Genomic DNA, 20,952 nt, shown 5'->3' on the forward strand with positions numbered 1-20,952 from the left:
CTGTCTATTCTACTCATTCATCCATGTAGCAAACATTTATGTGGCATCTAATGTGTCCAGCCCTGTCTGAGGCTCTGAGGATACAGCAGTGACTCAAACAACATTCTTTTCTTTCATGAAACTTATGCCTTGGGGTGAAGAAGACACCCCAATGAAACAGATCAACTGGGACAAGAGGGTTGAAGGAACTACACAGGATCAGGAGACAGAATAATATGGTGGCCTCTTTGGTGGTAGTCTGAGAAGTCTTCTTGGAGGAGGTGACATTTGAGCTGAAATAAGAATGATAACACAGTCAGACATGTATGTGACTGTCTGGGGTGCAAACATGGTACAAGTGAGCTTGGTGAGTTGGAAGCCCAGCAAGCAGCAGTTGCTATGGATTAAGCTGGGGAGGCAGAGGTGGGGAGGCAGCAGGGCCAGAATGTAGAGGGCAGGAATGTGTGCAGAAATAAGGGGCTCAGGTAAGGCGGAACCTTGAACTTGGGGTCCACCTTGGGGTCTTTGGGGGGAGTGGTACCTCAACCGGCAGCATCTCTGGTCACTAACACCCTGTGGGACCTCTGCTCAGAGAGGCTCAGAGTGGAAGAGACAGGTCCGTCTGGAAGGGACAGCCAGGACCCGGTGCAGAGGCAGGCTGTGGTTATCTGCAAACAGCCCCCTTCCTTCCAGCATGTCACGTGCTCCCGCCTGAGCCTCTGGCCGCAGGAATCAGGTGACCCCAGGCAGCGGGCCAGGCTGCAGGGGCGGGTGAGTGAGTCAATGTATGCAAGTGTGTGTGTGTGTGTGTGTGTGTGTGTGTTTTCATCTCTGGGAGGCCCAGACATCTGGGGTCTGAATTAATTGCCTTTTTCACAACCATGGACAAGTCCTGTATTTCCAGCTAGATTGAAAGCAAAACAAAACAAACCTATGTGCATAGCTCTGATCTGCTGAGCAGTGCCAGGGTCCTTGGGGGTTCGGGGAAGCCGTGGGAACCAGTCCTTCTCACTCAGACCCCTGAAGAGGGGCAGGGATCCTCTACTCATGCCCCCTAACCCACCTCCCGTGTCAGTACAAAGCCCCATTCTCTCTCTTTCCCCCAATCTGGGGCTATTTTTAGCCACTAAGAAGGATTATCAGTTTGGTTCCCAGGTGGCAGGGGCCAAGCTGGGAGTGGGGCCAGGGAGGCTTCAAACAGCAGCCAGGCTTGGGGGCGGGTGGGGTGAGGGGAGAAGAGGCTGGTCACACTGGCCCTGCCACCCACGCGGTGGCTCTGCAGATGACCCTGAAGCTGCTGTCGTCCAGCCCAGCCCAAACACTTCAGCTGCAGCTTTAAGGGAAGGTGGCAGGGGCAAGGAAAGCTTCCAGCAGCCTTAGGCACCTCAGATGCTGGAAACCGTCCTAAGGGCTTGGAAGAACCATCTAGAAGCCTCCATAGGCCAGCACCCCTTCTTTCCAGACCACTCCCCATCCTGCCCCCACCTCCTGTCTAGCAGTAACTATCACAGTCTAAGCTGTTTTTTGGGGGGTTTTTTTCCGAAACAGGATCTGCTCCGTCACCCAGGCTGGAGTGCAGTGGTGTGATCACAGCTCACTGCAGCCTCAAACTCCTGGGCTCAACCAGTCCTCTCACCTCAGCCTCCTGAGTAGCCGGGATTACAGGTGTGTGTCACTATGCCCACCTAATTTTTAAATTTTTTTGTCTTGCTATGTTGCCCTGGCTGGTCTCGAACTCCTGACCTTAAGCAATCCTCCCACTTCGGCCTCTCAAAGTGCTGGGTGTGAGCCACTGCACTCGGTCCTCTAAATTTTACTAGGTGCTCACTCCACCTCAGGTGCCATTCCGAACCACTCCATGTGGAAGAGGGGCTATTGTTTGTTCCATTTTACAGATAAAACTGAGGCACAGATAGGCCACGTTCCATGCCTGGTAAACGGGTGAGGCAGGAATCAGGAATCAGATCCGTTGTGATATCAGCATGGAGTGTTTATAAACTGCCCGCCTGCCCTGAGCCTCACAATAGCCTGGTAGAACAAGGAGGGAATCTAGCTGTACCCATTTTTCAGATGGGACAACTGAGGCCCAGGAAGACAGAGGATGACAGGGAACAAACAGAAGAACTGGATCCAAAAGAGAAAAGCTAGAAATTGAGGAACACATCCCTCAGCCTCATTTCCTCCCTTCCCTCAGGAGAAGTTGAGCCTTGCTGGCCTGAGGTGCCTGGTTATAGCCATGCCTGAGCCCCTCCCATATGCCAGACTCTGCCTCAATGCCCCAGGTGCAAGGTCTCTGAGCTGCTTAACCACCCTTCAGGGAGGGCACCTGTCCCACCAACAGGTGACGAAATTGAGGCTCCCAGGGCTTTGAAGCATTGCAGCTAGGACTCCAGCCAGTCTGCTGGGCTCCAGACCCTGTTCTTTTCTCAAACCACAGCATCTTTTATTTATGCTTTAAGAGGGAGAAGAGGGAAGGGACGAGACAGAGACAGGTTGGTGAGGTTAGTGAGAGAGTAGGACCTCTGGGGCCAGACCTCTGCAATCAGGGCATATCAGTCTGAAGCCTCCTTGGAGAGCTCCCTGGTTTAGAAAGTGCATCTGTTCCCCTTTCTGTGCCACTCAGGAAGCAATGGGCATGATTCAGCAGAGGAGAGGAGAGTTTAGAACTGGTTATGCTTCCTTCTCCAACCCTCCCTGCAAAAACACTGGCCAGCTCCTGACATCACAGTAAGACAGGGTTGCGGGAGGGTGCTTTAACAGGATCCAAAGCAGGGCAATTGGGCTGCTTTCAGGAGGAGGTGACAACTGAGCTGGGTTTTGAAGGATGCATAGGAGTTTGCCAAACAGAGAAAGAAAGCGTTTAAGCTCTTCAGGGCAGAGATGTTGCTTGTTTTCCCCACCATTTTGTGTCTTCAGCACCCAAATACTAAATGAGCATTCTAGGCAGAGGCCAGTATTTGTAAAGGCTAGGATGTGTGAAACGATATGGTCTGGTGGGAGCAGAGTATCAGTCAGTAAACTGGTGGGCATTGAAGCTGGGCACATCAGCAGAGGCAAGGCTTGAGATTGTGAGAAGCCATTGCTCCTGTGGTTCTCCCTCATCCCCTACACTCATCATGACTTGAATGTACCAAGGTGTGCAAGGATGCATCCAAGACCCTTGGGTGAGGGGAAAACATGGAGCTGGGGGTCTGGATGCCTGGGCCTTCCTAGGACACCTAGTCCCCTTCCATCTGCACCTTGGGGTCTGTCAGAAAGGTAGCAGGGTCTCTGAGAAAGCTGCACCAGTGACTCAGAAGGCTGAGGTGGGAGGATGGCTTGAACCCAGGAGTTTGAGGCTGCAGTGAGCTATGATCAGGCCAGTGCACTCCAGTCTGGGTGACAAAGTGAGACCCTGTCTCTAAAAAAAAAAAAAAAAAAAAAAAAAAAAATAGGGGATTGCAGATACCCTGCAGTGGTCATGGCTTTGGCTGTGAGAGCTGAGTACAGTTGGGACCAAGAGTGCCAAGCTGGCCATGTGTCCTTGAGCCCCCACGGGCACACGGGATCAAGCCAACCTTGTCTGCTAGTGAAGATGATTTCTTTTTCTTGAGAAATCAACCACCTGGGCTGAAGTCCCCACATCCACCCAGCTGTTCATGTGTCTACTCTGTCTGGGATGCCTGGGCCTCGTTGTAGGTCTAGACTAGCTGCTATCCCACACCCTTGACTGCTTGTTGGGTCACTGACTTCTAGTGCCCCTCCCCAACCAGAGTATCCAATGCTAGCAACAGCTTCTAATACTTCACTGATGCCTAAATGTCAGTTGCCCCATAGCATGGTACTTAGCCTGCCCCTTCATGTGCAGTCTCTTCCTTTTTTTTTTTTTTCCCCCAAAACAGGGTCTTGTTGACCCCTTGCTGATAGATAGAGGATTCCATCCATCTTCATGGATTTCAACAGCAGCCACTCACTGACAAGTCCTACCCAGGCCCCACCCACCCCAAGCCTGTGCCCCAAACCTGAGTAGCTCCTGCCTCCTCCACACGCCCACGGGAACATTTTAGCTGCCCTCCCCCACACCCACAATTTGTGTTGTCTGACACTTAGCCTGACTCCTGTCCTGAAATCAGCTCATCCATTCTGGTTCATCCAGTTCTTCAGACTGGAAGGCTGACAGCTTCAGTGGCCAAGTGGGGTGAGGCTGAAGATGGAATTAAGGTTGTTAATCAGCTGAGCTTGAGATGGGAGATCATCTGGGTGAACCCAGTGTCATCACAAGGGTCTTAAAATGAAGAAGACGGAGGCAGGAGAGACACTGTCAGAATGACAAGGTGGGAGAAAGACCCAACTAGCCACTGCTGGCTCTGAAGATGGAGGAAGGGACCAGGAGCTGGAGGGTGCAGGCAGCCTCTAAAGCCAGAAAAGGCAGGAAATGGCTGGGTGTGGTGGCTGGAGCCTGTAGTCCCAGCTACTCGGGAGGCTGAGGCAGGAAGATGGCTTGAGCCCAGGAGATCGAGGCTGCAGTGAGCTATGATTGCACCGCTGCATTCCAGCCTGGAAGACAGAGTGAGAGATTGCCTCCCTGCAGAAAATGTAGTCTCTTAGCAATTTTCCAGTATATACTATATTATTAACTAAAATCATCATGATGTACAGATCTCTTGGACTTACTACTGCTGCTAACTGAAATGTCATATCCTTTGACCAATATCTTGCCAATTTCCTCTCCCAACCCTTCTCTTTTCTGGCTCCACTTTGGAAAGCATTTGGCTCTTGGGGGGCCCCACCTCTAAAATGTCTCTGGAATCCCCTTATCTCTACCTTATCTCAACTGGACATGCCAGAGCACCCTCTTCTGGCCTCCAAAATGCTACGCCCTGCATGGCAACCAACACCTGAGAATCCCTGCATTATTCAAAATAGAACCAAGGGCAACGGAACCCTCACATTCTCCTGCTGGGAGTGTAAGATGGTGCAGTCCTGCCTTGGAAAGCAGTTTGCCCACCTTGGCCTCCCAAAGTGCTGGGATTACAGGGGTGAGCCACCACCCCCGGCTGCCCCCTAGGCTGGTCTTGAACTCTTGGCTTTGGCCAGGCGCGGTGGCTCTCACCTGTAATCCCAGCACTTTCGGAGGCCAAGACAGGTGGATCACGAGGTCAGGAGATCTAGACCATCCTGGCTAACATGGTGAAACCCTGTCTCTACTAAAAATACAAAAAATTAGCCGGGCGTAGTGGCGGGCACCTGTAGTCCCAGCTACTCGGGAGGCTGAGCTTGCAGTGAGCTGAGATCGTGCCACTGCACTCCAGGCTGGGCGACCGAGCGAGACTCCATCTCAAAAAAAAAAAAAAAAAAAAAAAACACTCTTGGCTTCAAGCAATTCTCCTGCCTCAGTCTCCCAACGTGCTGGAATTACAGGCATGAGCCACTGCACCTGGGTCTATTTTTTATTTTATTTATATATTTTTATTTTTTATTGATTTACTCTGTTTTTGGAGACAGGTATCACTCTGTCATTTAGGCTGAAGTGTGGTGGCATGATCACAGCTCATTGCAGCCCCAAACTCTTGGGCTTAAGCAATCCTCCTGCCTCTGCCTCACGAGTAGCTAGGATTATGGCCACATGCCACCTTGCCCGGCTAATTTTTGTATTTTTTGTAGAGACAGTTTCGCTATGTTGTCCAGGCTGGTCTCAAACCCCTGGGTTCAAGCAATCCTCCTGCCTCAGCCTCCTAAACACTGGGGTTATGGTATTTTTATTTTTATTTATTTTATTTATTTTTGAGATGAAGTCTCGCTCTCTCACCCAGGCTGGAGTGCAGTGGCACAATCTTGGCTCACTGCAGCCTCCGCCTCCCGGGTTCAAGCAATTCTCCTGCCTCAGCCTCCTGAGTAGCTGGGATTACAGGTGCCCACCACCACCCCTGGCTAATTTTTGTATTTTTAGTAGAGACGGGGTTTCACCGTGTTGGCCAGGCTGGTCTCAAACTCCTGATCGCAAGTGATCCACTCACCTTGGCCTCCCAAAGTGCTGGGATTACAGGCTTGAGCCACCATGCCCGGCCTATTTTTATTTTGTAACATGGCAAGGTTATCATGAAGAACTGACAAAACTAAGCTTTGATGACAAAAAAAAAAAAAAAAAAAAAAAAAGCTGGTGGGGGGCAGGGCAAGGTGGCTCATGCCTATAATCCCAGCAATTTGGGAGGCTGAGTGGGGAGGATTGCTTGAGCCCAGGAGGTCAAGTGTGCAGTGAGGTATGATGGCACCACTGCACTCCAGCCTGGGCCACAGAGTGAGACCCTGTCTAAACAACAACAACAACAAAAAAACAAAAAAACTGGAATGGTTGTTACTTTTGGATGACAGGACAGGGGTGGAGGTTGACTGGGAAGAGGTATGAGGGAAGTTTCTAGAGGAAATATTTGTGATAGGAGACTGGATTAGTCAGGTACATAGTTTTGTCCAAACTCAGTGACTGTACCCTTAAAGATGTGTGCGGGCCAGGCGCAGTGGCTCATGCCTGTAATCCCAACACTTCGGGAGGCCAAGGCGGGAGGATCGCTTGAGCCAGGGGTTTGAGACCAGCCTGGATAACATAGGGAGACCCTCTCTCTACACAAAAATTTAAAACATTAGCCAGTCATGGTGGTGTGTGCCTATGGTCCTGGCTCTGCGGGGGCTGACATGAAAAGACCACCCGAGCCCGGGAGGTCAAGGCTGCAGGGAGCCATGATCGCTGCATTCCAGCCTGGGTGACAGAGTGAGACCCTGTCTAAAAAAACAAAAAGTCTGCATTTCACTTGGGTAAATTTTACCTTGAAAGGAAAAACCCATAAGCAAATATTGAACCCTAGTTAATGATCTGTGTGCTGACATGTGTAGGGGCGATGTGGCCTGAGGTCAGCTGCCTACTTTGAAATGCATCGGGAACAAGCAGATAGACTGATGGTGGATAGAGGGATGGATGGGCAGAGGCAGATGGGTGATGGAATAAACAGAATGGAATGCAAAGGGGAGAATCTAGTGGTGGGAATACAGGTATTCACTGTAAAATTCTTTCAACTTTTGTGTAGGTTTGAAATGTTTATTATAAAACATTGGGGGAAGGCCGGGCGCGGTGGCTCATGCCTATAATCCCAGCACTTTGGGAGGCTGAGGCGGGCAGATCACTTGAGGTCAGGAGTTTGAGACCAGCCTGGCCAACATAACAAAACCCCATCTCTACTAAAAATATAAAAATTAGCCAGGCATGGTGGCGCATGCCTGTAATCCCAGCTACTCGGGAGACTGAGGCACGAGAATTGCTTGAACCCTCAAGGTGGAGGTTGCAGTGAGCTGAGATCGTGCCACGGTACTCCAGGCTGGGCGGCAGAGTGAGACTCCATCTCAAAATGTTGGGGGAAATAATCCAGATTCTTCCCTGCGGCCCCCATGCCTTGCAGGCTCTGTGCTGCCCCTCATCACCTCCCTGCCCTCCCCTCCTCCCTCTCTCCCCCTTGCTCACTGCACCAGCCACACGGACCTCCTCACTGTTGCTCCAACATCCCAGGCATGGTCCTGCCTCAGGGCCTTTGCACCTGCTGCGTATTTATCTAGAAAGCCCCTCCCCCAGCCCCACCTTCTTGTGTGAAAAACCCACAACCTTCTCATCTTTTTTTTTCTCATAGGGTCTTGCTCTGTCCCTCAGGCTGGAGTATAGTGGTGTGATCGTAGCTCCCTGCAGCCTCAAACTCCTGGGCTCAAGTCGTACTCCCACATCAGCTTCCTGAATAGCTAGAACTACAGATACGTGCCAGCACACCTGACTACTTTTTAAATTTTTTGTAGAGACAGGGTCTTGCTATGTTGCCCAGGCTGGTCTTGAACTCCTGAGCTCAAGTGATCCACCTGCCTCGGCCTCCCAAAGTGTTGGGATTACAGGCATGAACCACTTTGCCTGGCCTGACCTCCGCATCTTTTTTTTTTTTTTTTTTTAAGATGGAGTCTTGCTCTGTTGCCCAGTCTTGAGTGCAGTGGCATGATTTCAACTCACTGCAACCTCTGCCTCCCAGGTTCAAGTGATTCTCCTGCCTCAGCCTCTCAAGTAGCTGGGGTTACAGGCACATGCCACCACACCTGGCTGATTTTTGTATTTTTAGTAGAGATGAGGTTTCACCATGTGGGCCAGGCTGGTCTTGAACTCCTGACCTCAGATGATCCACCCGCTTCAGCCTCCCAAAGTGCTGGGATTACAGGTGTGAGCCACCGCACCTGGCCTGACGACCTCATCTTTAAGTCCCAGCTCAGGTGGCGCCTCCTTAGAGAGCCTCTCCTTGATCACATTTAAAATCACGCCACTCTGTTATCTACCCGGCCCGTTATACTTTGGCATCTCATTCATTTATGAATCTGTTTACTTGTTTATTGGCTGCCTTCTCTGTTGGTCTGTGAGCTGGGCAGGAATGTGTTGGCTTTATTCCCCTGCTGTGTCGCCAAGGCCCAGCCCTGACCTGACATGTACAAGTCAATTGGAGAATATCTCTTGCCTGGATGGATGGATGGACAGACAGACGGATAGATGCAACGACAGATGGATAAATGGATGGATGGAAGGGGAAATGGATAGATGGAAGAAAAGATGGACAGAAGGATGGGTGGGTGGAAGGACACACAAGTGAGTGATGGATGATGAGCGGATAGATGTTTAGATGGGTGGACAGATGGATGATGAATGGATGGATGATGGGTAGATGGACAGATTTTTGGATCAGTGGATGGATGATGGCTGGGTGGACAGATGTTTAGATGGGTGGACAGATGGATGATGGATGGATGGGTGAATGGGTAGGTGGATGGATGATGGGCAGGTGGACAGATGTTTGGATGAGTGGATGGATGATGGGTGGGTGGACAGATGGATGGATGAATGGATGGGGAGATGGATGAATGGGTGGGTAGATGGATGACAGATGGACGATAGGTGGATGGACAGGTGTTTGGATGGATGGATGGATGATGGGTGGATGGATGAATGGGTAGGTGGATAGATGATGTTTGTATGGGTTGATGGATGATGGGTGGGTGGACAGATCTTTGGATGGGTGGGTGGATGGATGGTGGGTGGGCAGATGTTTGGATGGGTGGACATATGGATGATGGGTAGATGGATGAGTGGATAGGTGGATGATGGATAATGGGTGGATGGACAGATGTTTTGATGAATTAACAGATGAATGATGGGTGGATGGACAGATGTTTGGATGGGTGGATGGATGGATGATGGGTAGATGAGTGGATAGGTGGATGATGAATAATGGGTGGATAGACAGATGTTTTGATGGGCGAACAGATGGATGATGGGTAGATGGATGATGAGTGGGTGGACAGATGTTTGGATGGGTGGATGGATGATGGGTGGGTGGACAGATGTTTGGATGGGTGGATGGACGATGGGTGGATGGATGATGGGTGGGTGGACAGATGTTTGGATGGGTGGATAGAGGGATGGATCGGTAGATAGATGGACAGGGGGATGCGTGGACAGACGAATGAACGAACAAACTTTCTGAGTGGGAACCACTGTGGTAGGCTGGACCCTTGGCTCAAGATCTCAGGGAAGGGAGCAGCTCTTTGGGCTCCTCAAGCAGGCTGGGACACGCTGGCCGGAGCTGCCCCACCTCGACCGCCACTCCATTATCAGGCAAGCTCAGTTATGCAGTAGGCTCTCTTACCCTCTTGCTTTGTGGGCTCTGGGATAGCAAGAGACCCCCCTGAAATTCCCACCTAGAGAGGAGCCTACCTTCCATAGATGGCCAGGAAAGGAACTCTGGATTTTTTTTTTTTTTTTTTTTTTGAGACAGAGTCTTGCTCTGTCACCCAGGCTGCAGTGCAGTGGCCTGATCTCTGCTCACTGCAACCTCCGCCTCCCGGGTTCAAGCAATTCTCTGCCTCAGCCTCCCGAGTAGCTGGGATTACAGGCGCACACCACCATGCCTGGCTAATTTTTGTATTTTTAGTAGAGACAGGGTTTCACCATGTTGGCCAGGCTGGTCTTGAATTCCTGACCTCGTGATCCACCTGCCTCGGCCTCCCAAAGTGCTGGGATTACAGGCAGTGAGCCACTGAGCCCGGCCTCTGGATTTCTTTAAATCCTTCATCTTTGGGGGCTGCTTCAGAGGCAGCTTCCTGCAGTGGAAAGAAACCTTCCTGGACGTTTGAGGACTCAAGTTCTTTTTTTTGAGACAGTTTTTCTCTGTTGCCCAGGCTGGAGTGCAGTGGCATGATCTCGGCTCACTGCAACCTCCTCCTCCCGGGTTCAAGCGATTCTCCTGCCTCAGCCTCCTGAGCAGGTGGGATTATAGGCGCCTGCCACCACGCCCGGCTAATTTTTGTATTTTTAGTAAAGATGGAGTTTTGCCATGTTGGCCAGGCTGGTCTCAAACTCCTGACCTGAAGTGATCTGCCCACCTCAGCCTCCCACAGTGTTGGGATTACAGGCATGAGCCATGGTGCCCGGCCACGACTCAAGTTTCTGACCCCAAGCAGCCACTCCCTTGACTTCTGGCTACCATCTTGGCATCAGTTAAGTGCAGAGTAATAACTACTATTTTGGGCTGTGTTATTATTACTCTTGTTAAAGATCAATCGGCCAAGCACTTTAGGTTGAGAAGCCTGGGTATTACTGTCTCTGTTTTTTTGTTTTGTTTTGTTTTGTTTTTGAGATGGAGTCTTGTTCTGTCACCCAGGCTGCAGTGCAGTGGCACGATCTCGGCTCACTGCAACCTCCGCCTCCCAGGTTCAAGTGATTCTCCTGCCTCAGACTCCTGAGTAGCTGGGATTACAGGCATGTGCCACCACGCCCAGCTCATTTTTGTATTTTTAGTAGAGACAGGGTTTCACCATGTTGGTCAGGCTGCTCTTGAACTCCTGGCCTCGTGATCCACCCACCTTGGCCTTCTAAAGTGCTGGGATTACAGGCGTGAGCAACTGCGCCCGGCCTACTACTCTGTTTTACAGATGAACTTGAGGTTCAGAGAGGTCAAGTCATTTGCCTGAGGACACACAGCCCAACTCTGCCTTTTAACACTGACCAGGCAATGGAGTGGGAGTGATGAGAATGAAGTGGTGGCTCTTCTGGGACCAGAGGACAGTTCCAAAGTCCCAGGCAAGGGGAGTTCCATCTTCCAGTCCTGCCTCCTGGTTGTCAACTGCGCTGATAGGGGCCCGAGTAGGAGTTCTGAGGCTCCAGCCTCTCAGGCCCCACTTGCCCCACCCATTCTGCTTGCAGACCTCCCAGCTAACTGGAACCTGTGTCCACAGAATGCTGTCCAGTTTCAACGAGTGGTTTTGGCAGGACAGGTTCTGGTTACCACCCAATGTCACGTGGACAGAGCTAGAAGACCGGGATGGCCGTGTCTACCCCCACCCCCAGGACTTGTTGGCAGCCCTGCCCCTGGCGCTGGTCCTCCTGGCCATGCGCCTTGCCTTTGAGAGGTGAGTGTCTGCCCTGCCGCAATCCATTGCCCCCGCAGTCGCTCCAGTATGTGCTCGTGCCCTGTGTGCAATTTGCCATTGCAGCATGTCCCGAGTAGAAGCTGGCTTTGCACCAAAGCGCGTTCCCTGGCTCCAGCCTGCCCCCAGCCGCCACCACCCACACTTCTGGCCTCTGATGGCTGGTTTATAGGAACACTGACTGCAGCTGGTTTATAGGAACACTGCACTGCCTGCAGCCTGCAGCTGGGTATGCCAGCATCTTCATAAAACAGGGATGGGAGGCCGGGCACGGTGGCTCACGCCTGTAATCCCAGCACTTTGAGAGGCTGAGGCGGGTGGATCACTTGAGGTCAAGAGTTCGAGACCAGCCTGGCCAACATGGTGAAACCCTGTCTCTGCTAAAAATACAAAAATTAGCTGGGCGCAAACCTGTAATCCCAACTACTCAGGAGGCTGAGGCAGGAGAATCGCCTGAACCTGGGAGGTGGAGGTTGCAGTGAGCCAAGATTGTGCCGCTGCACTCCAGCCTCGGCAACAGAGCAAGACTCCATAAAAAAAAAAAAATGTGAGCTGGGGTGTTATCCCATCCCAAAGGCATCCCAGGGCCTCTGTGAAGGACAGTGGGGTGGGCGGAGGGTTTTCCAGTTTCAAACGCAGGGGTTTTAGCCCTTAAAAAAAATTTTTTTTTGAATCTAGGCCAGACGTGGTAGCTGATTCCTGTAATGTCAGCAATTTGGGAGGCTGAGGTGGGTGGATCACTTGAGTCCAGGAGTTCGAGACCAGACTGCGCAACATGGTGAAACCTCATCTCTATTAAAAAAAAAAAAATACAAAAATTAGGCTGGGTGCAGTGGCTCATGCCTGTAATCCCAGCACTTTGGGAGGCCAAGGTGGGCGGATCATGATGTCAGGAGTTCAAGACCAGCCCGACAAACGTGGTGAAACCCTGTCTCTACTAAAAGTACAAAAAATTAGTTGGGTGTGGTGGCACATGCCTGTAGTCCCAGCTACTCAGGAGGTTGAGGCAGGAGAATTGCTTGAACCCAGGAGACAGAGGTTGCAGTGAGCTGAGATCATGCCAGTGCACTCCAGCCTGGGCAACAAGAGCAAAACTCCATCTAAAAAAAAAAAGAACAAAAGCCTCATCCCCACCAGTAGCTGGGACTGTAGGCATGCCACCATGGCTGGCTAACTTTTTTTTTTTTTTGAGACAGAGTCTTGCTCTTTCACCTTGGCTGGAGTACAGTGGCACAATCTCAGTTCACTACAACCTCTGCCTCCCAGGTTCAAGCGACTCTCCTATCTCAGCCTCACAAGTAACTGGGATTACAGGCATGTGCCACCACACCTGACTAATTTTTGTATTTTTAATAGAAACGGGGTTTTGCCATGTTGGCCAGACTAGTCTCAAACTCCTGACGTCAGGTGATCCACCCACCTTGGCCTCCCAAAGTGCTGGGATTACAGGCAAGTGACACCACAACCCAGCTAAATTTTGTATTTTTAGTAGAGACAAGGTCTCACCATGTTGCCCAGGTTGGTCTTGAACTCCTGAGTTCAAGCAATCCTCCCGCCCTCCACCTCCAAAATGAGACTTTAAGAGGCAGGAGGCAGGAACAAAAACCAGAATCCTGAGTTCAAATTTCAGGTCTTTCACCTGCTCACAGTGTCACCTTGGGCATGTCTCTGAGCCTCAGTTTACCCATTAGGACAATAGGAACTGAGTTAGGGTTAGACGAGCCAATGTATCACATGGACTTGGCCCCATGCTTAGCAGATAATAAGCGCTCATTCTCTCCGCATCATGATTTATTCTGCAATGAGTTCCTTGCTAGGCTGCTCTGAGCCTTTCACCAAATGAGGCAGGATGTTAGGAGGGATGGTGGATATAAAATTCGGTCCCCACCTGTGGTGTTGGCGCGCCCTCTTGTGGGCAACGTGGCCATTGACCAGGGTCCCTGATCTCCAAGCCTCTACCCCGGAATGGGGGATGCTGGGAGGAGGGGCTTGGAGCGGGAACAGCCCCAGCCCCTGCCCATGGGGAGCCCCTAGACTGGCGGGGGGTCAGACCAGGACCCAGGCCACAGTGAGACAGGCAGTGAAGAGACTCTTGTCCCTGGTTTGGGATTGGGCAAAGGTACCTGGGTACCCCAAGAGTTGGTCTGCACACCCTCACCCTACAGACAAAGGTCCAGCTGCCTTTTTTTTTTTTTTTTTTTTTTGGGGAGACAGAGTCTTGTTGCTCTGTCACCCAGGCTTGAGTGCAGTGGTGCGATCTCGACTCACTGCCAGCTCCGCCTCCTGGGTTCACACCATTCTCCTGCCTCAGCTCAGCCTCCCAAATAGCTGGGGCTACAGGGGCCCGCCACCTCGCCCGGCTAATTTTTTGTATTTTCAGTAGATGCAATCCTGGCTCACTGCAACCTCCACCTCCAGGTTCAAGCAATTCACCTGCCTCAACCTCCCGAGTAGCTGGGATTACAGGTGCACGCCACCACACCCAGATGATTTTGTATTTTCAGTAGAGACAGTGTTTCACCATATTGGTCAGGCTGGTCTCGAACTTCTGACCTCACGTGATCCGCCCACCTCAGCCCCAAAGTTCTGGGATAACAGGCATGAGTCAGCTGCCTTTCTTATGTTTGGTCTAACGCAGCAGCCAGGCCACCCCTCCAGGGCCCCAGGGGATGAGGCCAGGAATAAGTGGAAAATCGAGTCCTGCCCCACGAGCCTTTCTGACTCTGGGCCTCCAAACCCTCTGATCAGATGGAAAAGAAAGACCAAGTCTTAGGCCGGGCGCGGTGGCTCACCGCTGGTAATCCCAGCCCTCTGGGAGGCCGAGGTGGGCAGATCACGAGGTCAGGAGATCGAGACCATCCTGGCTAACACAGTGAAACCCCGTCTCTACTAAAAAATACAAAAAATTAGCCGGGCGTAGTGGCGGGCGCCTGCAGTCCCAGCTACTCGGGAGGCTGAGGCAGGAGAATGGCGTGAACCCGGGAGGCGGAGCTTGCAGTGAGCCAAGATCGCGCCACTGCACTCCAGCCTGGGTGACAGTGCAATACTCTGTCTCAAAAAAAAAAAAAAAAAAAAGTCTTACACACCCTGCCATGTGCCAGCTGTGCTCTCTGAGCCTGTAACTTTGCCCCTCCGAGACTTGGTTATCCCACCGGCAGCATGTCTGCCCCCACACACAGGCAGTCCCATCTCTTCACCTGGGCTGATAGGCTCTGTCTCCTTTGCACCCAGATTCATTGGCCTGCCCCTGAGCCGGTGGCTGGGTGTGAGGGATCAGACCAGGAGGCAAGTGAAGCCCAACGCCACGCTGGAGAAACACTTCCTCACGGAAGGGCACAGGCCCAAGGAGGTGAGAGCCCCCCATGCCCTCCGACCCGCACTACTGCCCTGGGGGTGGGGCGTGGGGATGGTGTGTGGCCCATTTGTTGGGGCAGGAGAAGCCAAGGTGGCTGCAGGCACCCCTGCAATGCCCCTACTTTCCACTCTTCATCCTCAATTCCCTGGGAAAGGGCTCTACCCCCCAGCCTCCCTGGGAAACGACGCCCCACCCCTCCCAGCATCCCTGGGACATGGAGCCCCACCCTTCCAGCCTCCCTGGGAGATGAGGACCCCCCCCTTCCCAGCCTCCTTGGGAGATGGGGCCCCTCCCCTCCCAGCCTCCCTGAGCCTTAGTGGGCACAGTTGCACAATGGACAGATTCTAGGAGAGTGAGAGTAGTTGCTTGCTCTCCTATCCTGGGGAGGAATGGAAGGTCTGAGCTGATAGGGAATGGAGTAACAGAAGCAGCCCTGTGACCCTCCCTCCATTCCCGTCTCTGGTGTGGCTGCCCGCTGGACAGGGTCTGTGCTGTGGAGGCGTGGCTGCGTCCTGAGTGGGGTGGGGAATGGTGAAGACCACATACCCTAGAGGCGACAGGGCAGCTTCCGCAGAGCTAGACGTGACTCCCCCTTTACTTGTCAATTTCCCTCTTCAGGTAGGGCTTGGGGCTGGGGCAAGGTCTCAACTGCCTGTCTAGGTTGGAGGTGAGAACTGACCGTTCTGGAGGGACGCAGGGAAGCCTATCCGGGGGTAGGGGATGCTGCACGCCAGCATCTCTCTTAATCCCATCCCCGTCAGCGACCTGCCTGCCCTATGAACAGGATTTGCTTCTCTTAGGGCCCAAGTGTTCTGCAGGGCCCCACGCTGGGACCCCCAACACTGCCCCTCCATATAGACATGGTCACCCTGTAGGCAAGATGTGGGCCTGCAGTGGAGAGGGCAGAGCCAAGTCCTGTCTGGGGACATGGGGGAAGCCACCACAGGGCCTCTGTGACCCTTGTCCTCATCACCCCCTCCCCAGCCCCAGCTGTCTCTCCTGGCCGCCCAGTGTGGCCTCACGCTGCAGCAGACCCAGCGATGGTTCCGGAGACGCCGGAACCAGGATCGACCCCAGCTGACCAAGAAGTTCTGTGAGGCCAGGTAAGCCCAGGATGGGGCTTCTGGGGTGCAGGGAAGCGGGCCGGGGTGGGGCGGGGCGGGTGTCTGCTATTTTCACAGCTCCCTCCCCATCCACAGCTGGAGGTTTCTCTTCTACCTGTCCTCCTTCGTGGGCGGCCTCTCGGTCCTGTACCACGTGAGTATACCAGAGTATAGCTGACTGCTCACCTGCCCCATCCACCTGGCCTAGATCTGGCAGGAGTGGGGGTGTGGAGTGGTGCAGCCAGAGAGGAAAACATGCAGCTGAGGAGAGAGCGAGCTTTGCAAGATGGTGGTGAATGTTCACTCAACAGGTATTTGGATTTACTATGCACCAAAAGTTGGGGTTCTGCAGTGAATGAGCCCCCCAGTCGAGAGTGAGAAGCAGGAAAAAGCAGGGCTGGGTGAAGGTAGCATCTATGTGACTGTGGAAGGAGAACCAAAGAGACCGCAGACCCAGGGTGGGAGGTTGGATTCTCACCTCTGCACAGCCTGACACCCATTTCCCTGCAGGAGTCATGGCTGTGGGCACCAGTAATGTGCTGGGACAGGTACCCAAACCAGGTGAGTGGCAGAGTGTGTGTGAATGCTTGGAGGGTGAGGGCGATGATCACAGTTGCTGCAGCCATGGGCATGGGACCCGAACCCTGACACTACACTGTCATTCCCCACTGAGTCCCACGCTCTTTGATTCCTCTGGGGAATAGAGAGGGGCCAGAAAACCAAGCAGGAGCTTCCACCAAACCACTGCCCTTGATTACCTCCAGGGATGGGGAGCTCACTCATTGGGATTCAAGTATCCTGGTTTTGAGCAAACGGAGTGGGCCCGGAGCCATACCCCTGCCCGATTGGAGCCTTCGCTCCCCACAGCTAACCTTGTCCTGTCCTGCTGCAGACTCTGAAGCCATCCCTGTACTGGTGGTACCTCTTGGAGCTGGGTTTCTACCTCTCACTGCTAATCAGGCTGCCCTTTGATGTCAAGCGCAAGGTGAGGCCAAATAAGAGTCTGGAAGACCCAGTCTCTGGCCGGGATGCTGGGGTGCTGGGGGGTAGGGCAGCCTTACAACCGCACCTTGAGAGCTCCCTGGTGCCTCCTGCAGGAGATATAGAGGCCATGGGCCCAGAGGCCACACCAACCCCCTGAAAGGACCCACTTCTTGGCCCATAGGGTGGGGGACCTTCCAGCATCAAGCCTCGTCCCCACTATGACCCACCGTCTACTGCAGGATTTCAAGGAGCAGGTGATACACCACTTCGTGGCGGTCATCCTGATGACCTTCTCCTACAGTGCCAACCTGCTGCGCATTGGCTCTCTGGTGCTGCTGTTACACGATTCCTCTGACTACCTGCTGGAGGTGGGCCCGACCCCTGCCTGACCCTTCCCAGCTGCTGTACCCAGCCCTCCCAGGTGCCCCAGAGATGAGGTCCCATTCCTCCCAACCTTCCTGGGAGATGGAGCCCCACCCCTCCTGTCTTTCTCGGGTGATGAGGCCCTGCCCCCTCTGTCTTCCAGGCTGATAAGGCCCCACCCCCTCTGTCTTCCTGGGTGATGAAGCCCCACCCTTCTTGGCTTCCTTGGGCAGAGGCCCCCGCCTTCTCAGCTTCCTTGGGAGATGAGGCCCTGCCCCCCATCTTCCTGGGAGATAAAGCCCTGCCCCTCTCAGCTCCCTCCTTGGAGGATAAAGCTACACACATGTGCACACACGCATGTATTCACATTTTTTTTTTTGAGACGGAGTCTCACTCTCTTGCCCAGGCTAGAGTGCAATGGCACACACTGCTCACTGCAACCTCTGCCTCCCAGGTTCAAGTAATCTCCTGCCTCAGCTTCCCAAGAAGCTGGGATTACAGGCACTTGCCACCATGCCAGCTAACTTTTGTATTTGTAGTAGAGATGGAGTTTCACCATGTTGGCCAGGCTGGTCTCGAACTCCTGACCTCAGGTGATCTGCCTGCCTCAGCCTCCCAAAGTGCTGGGATTACAGGCGTGAGCCACCATGCCCAGCCTATATTCACACTCTTTACCTTTCCTGAAAAGGTAGGTAGTTCCTGGAAACAAGGCCCCACCCCAACTCACCTGGTCCCATCCTATAGCACCTTCTCTTTGAGACCAGGGCCCTGGTCCTGAGCCCATTTCTCCCTGCTGCCCTTTCCAGGCCTGTAAGATGGTCAACTACATGCAGTATCAGCAAGTGTGCGACGCTCTCTTCCTCATCTTCTCCTTTGTCTTCTTCTACACCCGACTGGTCCTCTTTCCCACCCAGTGAGTCAGCCCTCCCATGGGGGTCAGGGAGGTGGGAGGGCGTGTCTGAGATTCCAGGACTGCCTCACCATTGGTACCCTGCCCCAAGGAGCTGGGGATCTTGGCTGGGAGAGTTCCAGGAGGAGGCAGGGAAGGGTGTGCCAGGCACAGGGCACGGCATATGCAAAGGCGCAGAGGTGAGACAGAGAATTATTATTACTCAGCGTGCCTGGACCATGCAGTGGGAGGAAGGGTCAGGGCTGCCAGCGCACCAAAGTCTGCCCAGTAAATATTTGTGGGGGCCTCTTGAGTGTGCTGGTAACACAGCAGAGGCCACAGTTCAAAGATCCCGGCCCTTGTGAGCAGACATTGCATGGGTGGGAGCAGATGGTAAGTGAGGCAGCCACGTGAACTGCACAGCATGCGAAGGAGAGATTTACTAACAAGAAAATAAATTTGACGGGCCGGGCGTGGTAGCTCATGCCTGTAATCCCAGCACTTTGGGAGGCTGAGGCGGGCGGGTCACTTGAGGTCAGGAGTTCCAGACCAGCCTGGCCAACATAGTGAAACCCCATCTCTACTAAAAATACAAAAGTTAGGCTGGCCACAGTGGCTCACCCCTGTAATCCCAACACTTTGTGAGGCTGAGGCAGGAAGATCACGAGGTCAGGAGTTTGACACCAGCCTGGCCAACATGGTGAAACCTTGTCTCTATTAAAAATTAAAAATTAGCCGGACGTGATGGTGCATACCTGTAATCCCAGCTACTCGGGAGGCTGAGGCAGGAGGATCACTTAAACCCAGAAGGCAGAGGCTACAGCGAATCAAGATTGTACCACTGCACTCCAGCCTGGGTGACAGAGGGAGACTTTGTCTTAAATCAAATTGGCCAGGTGTGATGGCTCACGCCTGTCATCCCAGCACTTTGGGAGGCCAAGGTGGCTGGATCACCTGAGGTCAGGAGATCGAGACCACTTTGGCCAACACAGAGAAACCCTGTCTCTACTGAAAACACAATAATTAGCTGGGCATGGTGGCACACGCCCGTAATCCCAGCTACTCGGGAGGCTAAGGCAGGAGAATCACTTGAACCCAGGAGGCAGAGGTTGCAGTGAGCTGAGATCACACCACTGCACTCCAGCCTGGGCGACAGAGCAAGACTCTGTCTCTAAATAAAAAAAAGTCAGGAAGGGAGCAGGAAGTATGGGAGAGGTGGGTAGTTGGAATTAGAATGGCAGGTAATGCCTCGCTGGCAGCGTTTGTACCGAGAGATGGGAGGGAGGTGAGGGACAGAACCACGTTGATCAGAGGGGAAGTGTGTTCCAGGCAGAGAATAGCATGTGCAAAGGGCCTGAGGCAAGACCATGCCCGGCATGTTAGAGGAAGAGCAAGGAGGCCTGTGTGGCTGGAGCAGAGTGGGTGAGGGGGAGGGTAGGCAGGAGATGGAGTAGGCCGTGCAGGTCCTTGAGGGCTGTGGGCAGGACTTTGGCTTTGACCCCGGGGGAGATGGGAGCCATGGAGGTTATAAGCAGAGGGATTCAATCTGACCTAGGTGTTCTGGGTGCCCTTTGGCAGCTGCAGGGGAAACATCATGGGAAGTGTGGGCAGGAGTGAGGGGACCCAGGGTAGGCGAGAGAAGTGGGCAGACTTAAGGGGATGCCTCTGGGATCAGGAGGTGGGAACAAGCACAGAAGGAACTGCTCGAGGCAGCAGGAGCTCAGCCCTGCTGGGTTTGAGGGGTCTGTGGCCTCAGAGGAGACATGGAGAAGGCAGTGGGCATGCCAGTCTGGGCTTCTGGGGAAAGAGGTAATGTAGGAGTTGTCAGTCCATGGCTGGTATTTGCAGCCAGCAGCCTGGATGGCATCACCTAGGGACCAGGTATGGACAGAGAGTCTCAGTCCTCGGGCTTCCTGATGTTTGCAGGTCGAGAGAGGAAGAACAGGGCCCATGGAGCATGAGAGTCAGATTACATCCCTCCTCTGGCTGCCATCCTCCATGGCTCCCACCTGTCTTGGTTTCAAGGCCTGAGGAGATTAGGCAGAAGTGGCTGTGAGATGGGGAGATGGTGGGGTGCGGGGAGCCAGAGAGGGAAGGGGCCCAGGGAGGAGGGAGGGCTGCTGGCAACCTGTTGTGCCAGCTGGTGGGGCTGCAGGGCTGAGCACTGTGGAGTGAGGAAGGCGAGGTCGCTGGTCACCCTACAGCTGATTGGGGGGTAGGAGAAACACAGCAGCTACAGCCAGTACTTTTTGAGATGGAGTCTTGCTCTGTCACCTAGACTGGAGTGCAATGGCGTGATCTCAGCCCACCACAACCTCCGCCTCCCGGGTTCAAGCAATTCTCCTGCCTCAGCCTCCTGAGTAGCTGGAATTATAGGCACACACCACCACACCTGGCTAATTTTTGTATTTTTTTTTTTTTTTTTAGTAGAGATGGGGGTTTCACCATGTTGGCCAGGCTGGACTCGAACTTCTGACCTCGTGATCCACCCGCCTCCACCTCCCAAAGTGCTGGGATTACAGGCGTGAGCCACTGTGCCCAGCCCAGCCAGTACTTTCAAGGAGTTCCAAGGAAAAAAAAAAGCCTACAGGGAAAAGAAATAAGTTGGTGCCCAGAGGGGCAGAGTAAAGAGTGAGCTTTTTGTTTTTTTCTTTCTTGTGTGAAATAACAGTGGGATTGGAGTTGATGATAAAGAACCAGCAGGAAGGCTGGGTGCGGCGGCTCACGCCTGTAATCCCAGCACTTTGGGAGGCTGAGGTGAACAGATCACTTGAGGTCAGGAGTTCCAGACCAGCCTGGCCAAC

The 20,952-nt window shown here is 53.2% G+C and overlaps 1 protein-coding gene and 1 long non-coding RNA gene across 13 annotated transcripts in view, besides 1 other annotated feature; one reads left to right on the forward strand and one right to left on the reverse strand.

The window, feature by feature from the left end:
* The window catches only part of CERS4 (ceramide synthase 4), a 53,052-nt gene that overhangs the window by 30,444 nt on the left and 1,656 nt on the right, over positions 1 to 20,952 (forward strand). For 3 of the 12 annotated variants that reach the window (NM_024552.3, XM_047439437.1, XM_011528291.3), the window contains 8 exons: positions 11,263 to 11,436; positions 14,686 to 14,803; positions 15,794 to 15,912; positions 16,009 to 16,066; positions 16,423 to 16,473; positions 16,805 to 16,897; positions 17,136 to 17,264; positions 18,066 to 18,172. In NM_024552.3, coding sequence (NP_078828.2) covers positions 11,264 to 11,436; positions 14,686 to 14,803; positions 15,794 to 15,912; positions 16,009 to 16,066; positions 16,423 to 16,473; positions 16,805 to 16,897; positions 17,136 to 17,264; positions 18,066 to 18,172 — 848 coding nt within the window. In that variant the 5' untranslated portion in view covers position 11,263. Of the gene's footprint in view, positions 1 to 672; positions 751 to 1,527; positions 1,645 to 10,959; positions 11,437 to 14,685; positions 14,804 to 15,793; positions 15,913 to 16,008; positions 16,067 to 16,422; positions 16,474 to 16,804; positions 16,898 to 17,077; positions 17,265 to 18,065; positions 18,173 to 20,952 lie in introns of those variants that run through there. The other 9 variants (XM_017027304.2, XM_047439434.1, XM_011528290.3 and 6 more) reach the window with 7 other exon arrangements.
* LOC107985282 (uncharacterized) lies at positions 90 to 681 on the reverse strand. The gene is made up of 2 exons (XR_001753859.2): positions 521 to 681; positions 90 to 272 (listed from the first exon to the last, which is right to left on the reverse strand). It is a non-coding gene; the product is annotated as an uncharacterized LOC107985282 (long non-coding RNA).
* Positions 703 to 752: a silencer, noted in NCBI's record as "silent region_10014". NCBI's record gives its function as "represses an Ori minimal core promoter by ATAC-STARR-seq in GM12878 lymphoblastoid cells {active_cell/tissue: GM12878}" and the evidence as "EXISTENCE:reporter gene assay evidence [ECO:0000049][PMID:35858748]".

Source organism: Homo sapiens, chromosome 19, assembly GCF_000001405.40.
Source record: "Homo sapiens chromosome 19, GRCh38.p14 Primary Assembly".
NCBI classification, from domain to species: domain Eukaryota; kingdom Metazoa; phylum Chordata; class Mammalia; order Primates; family Hominidae; genus Homo; species Homo sapiens.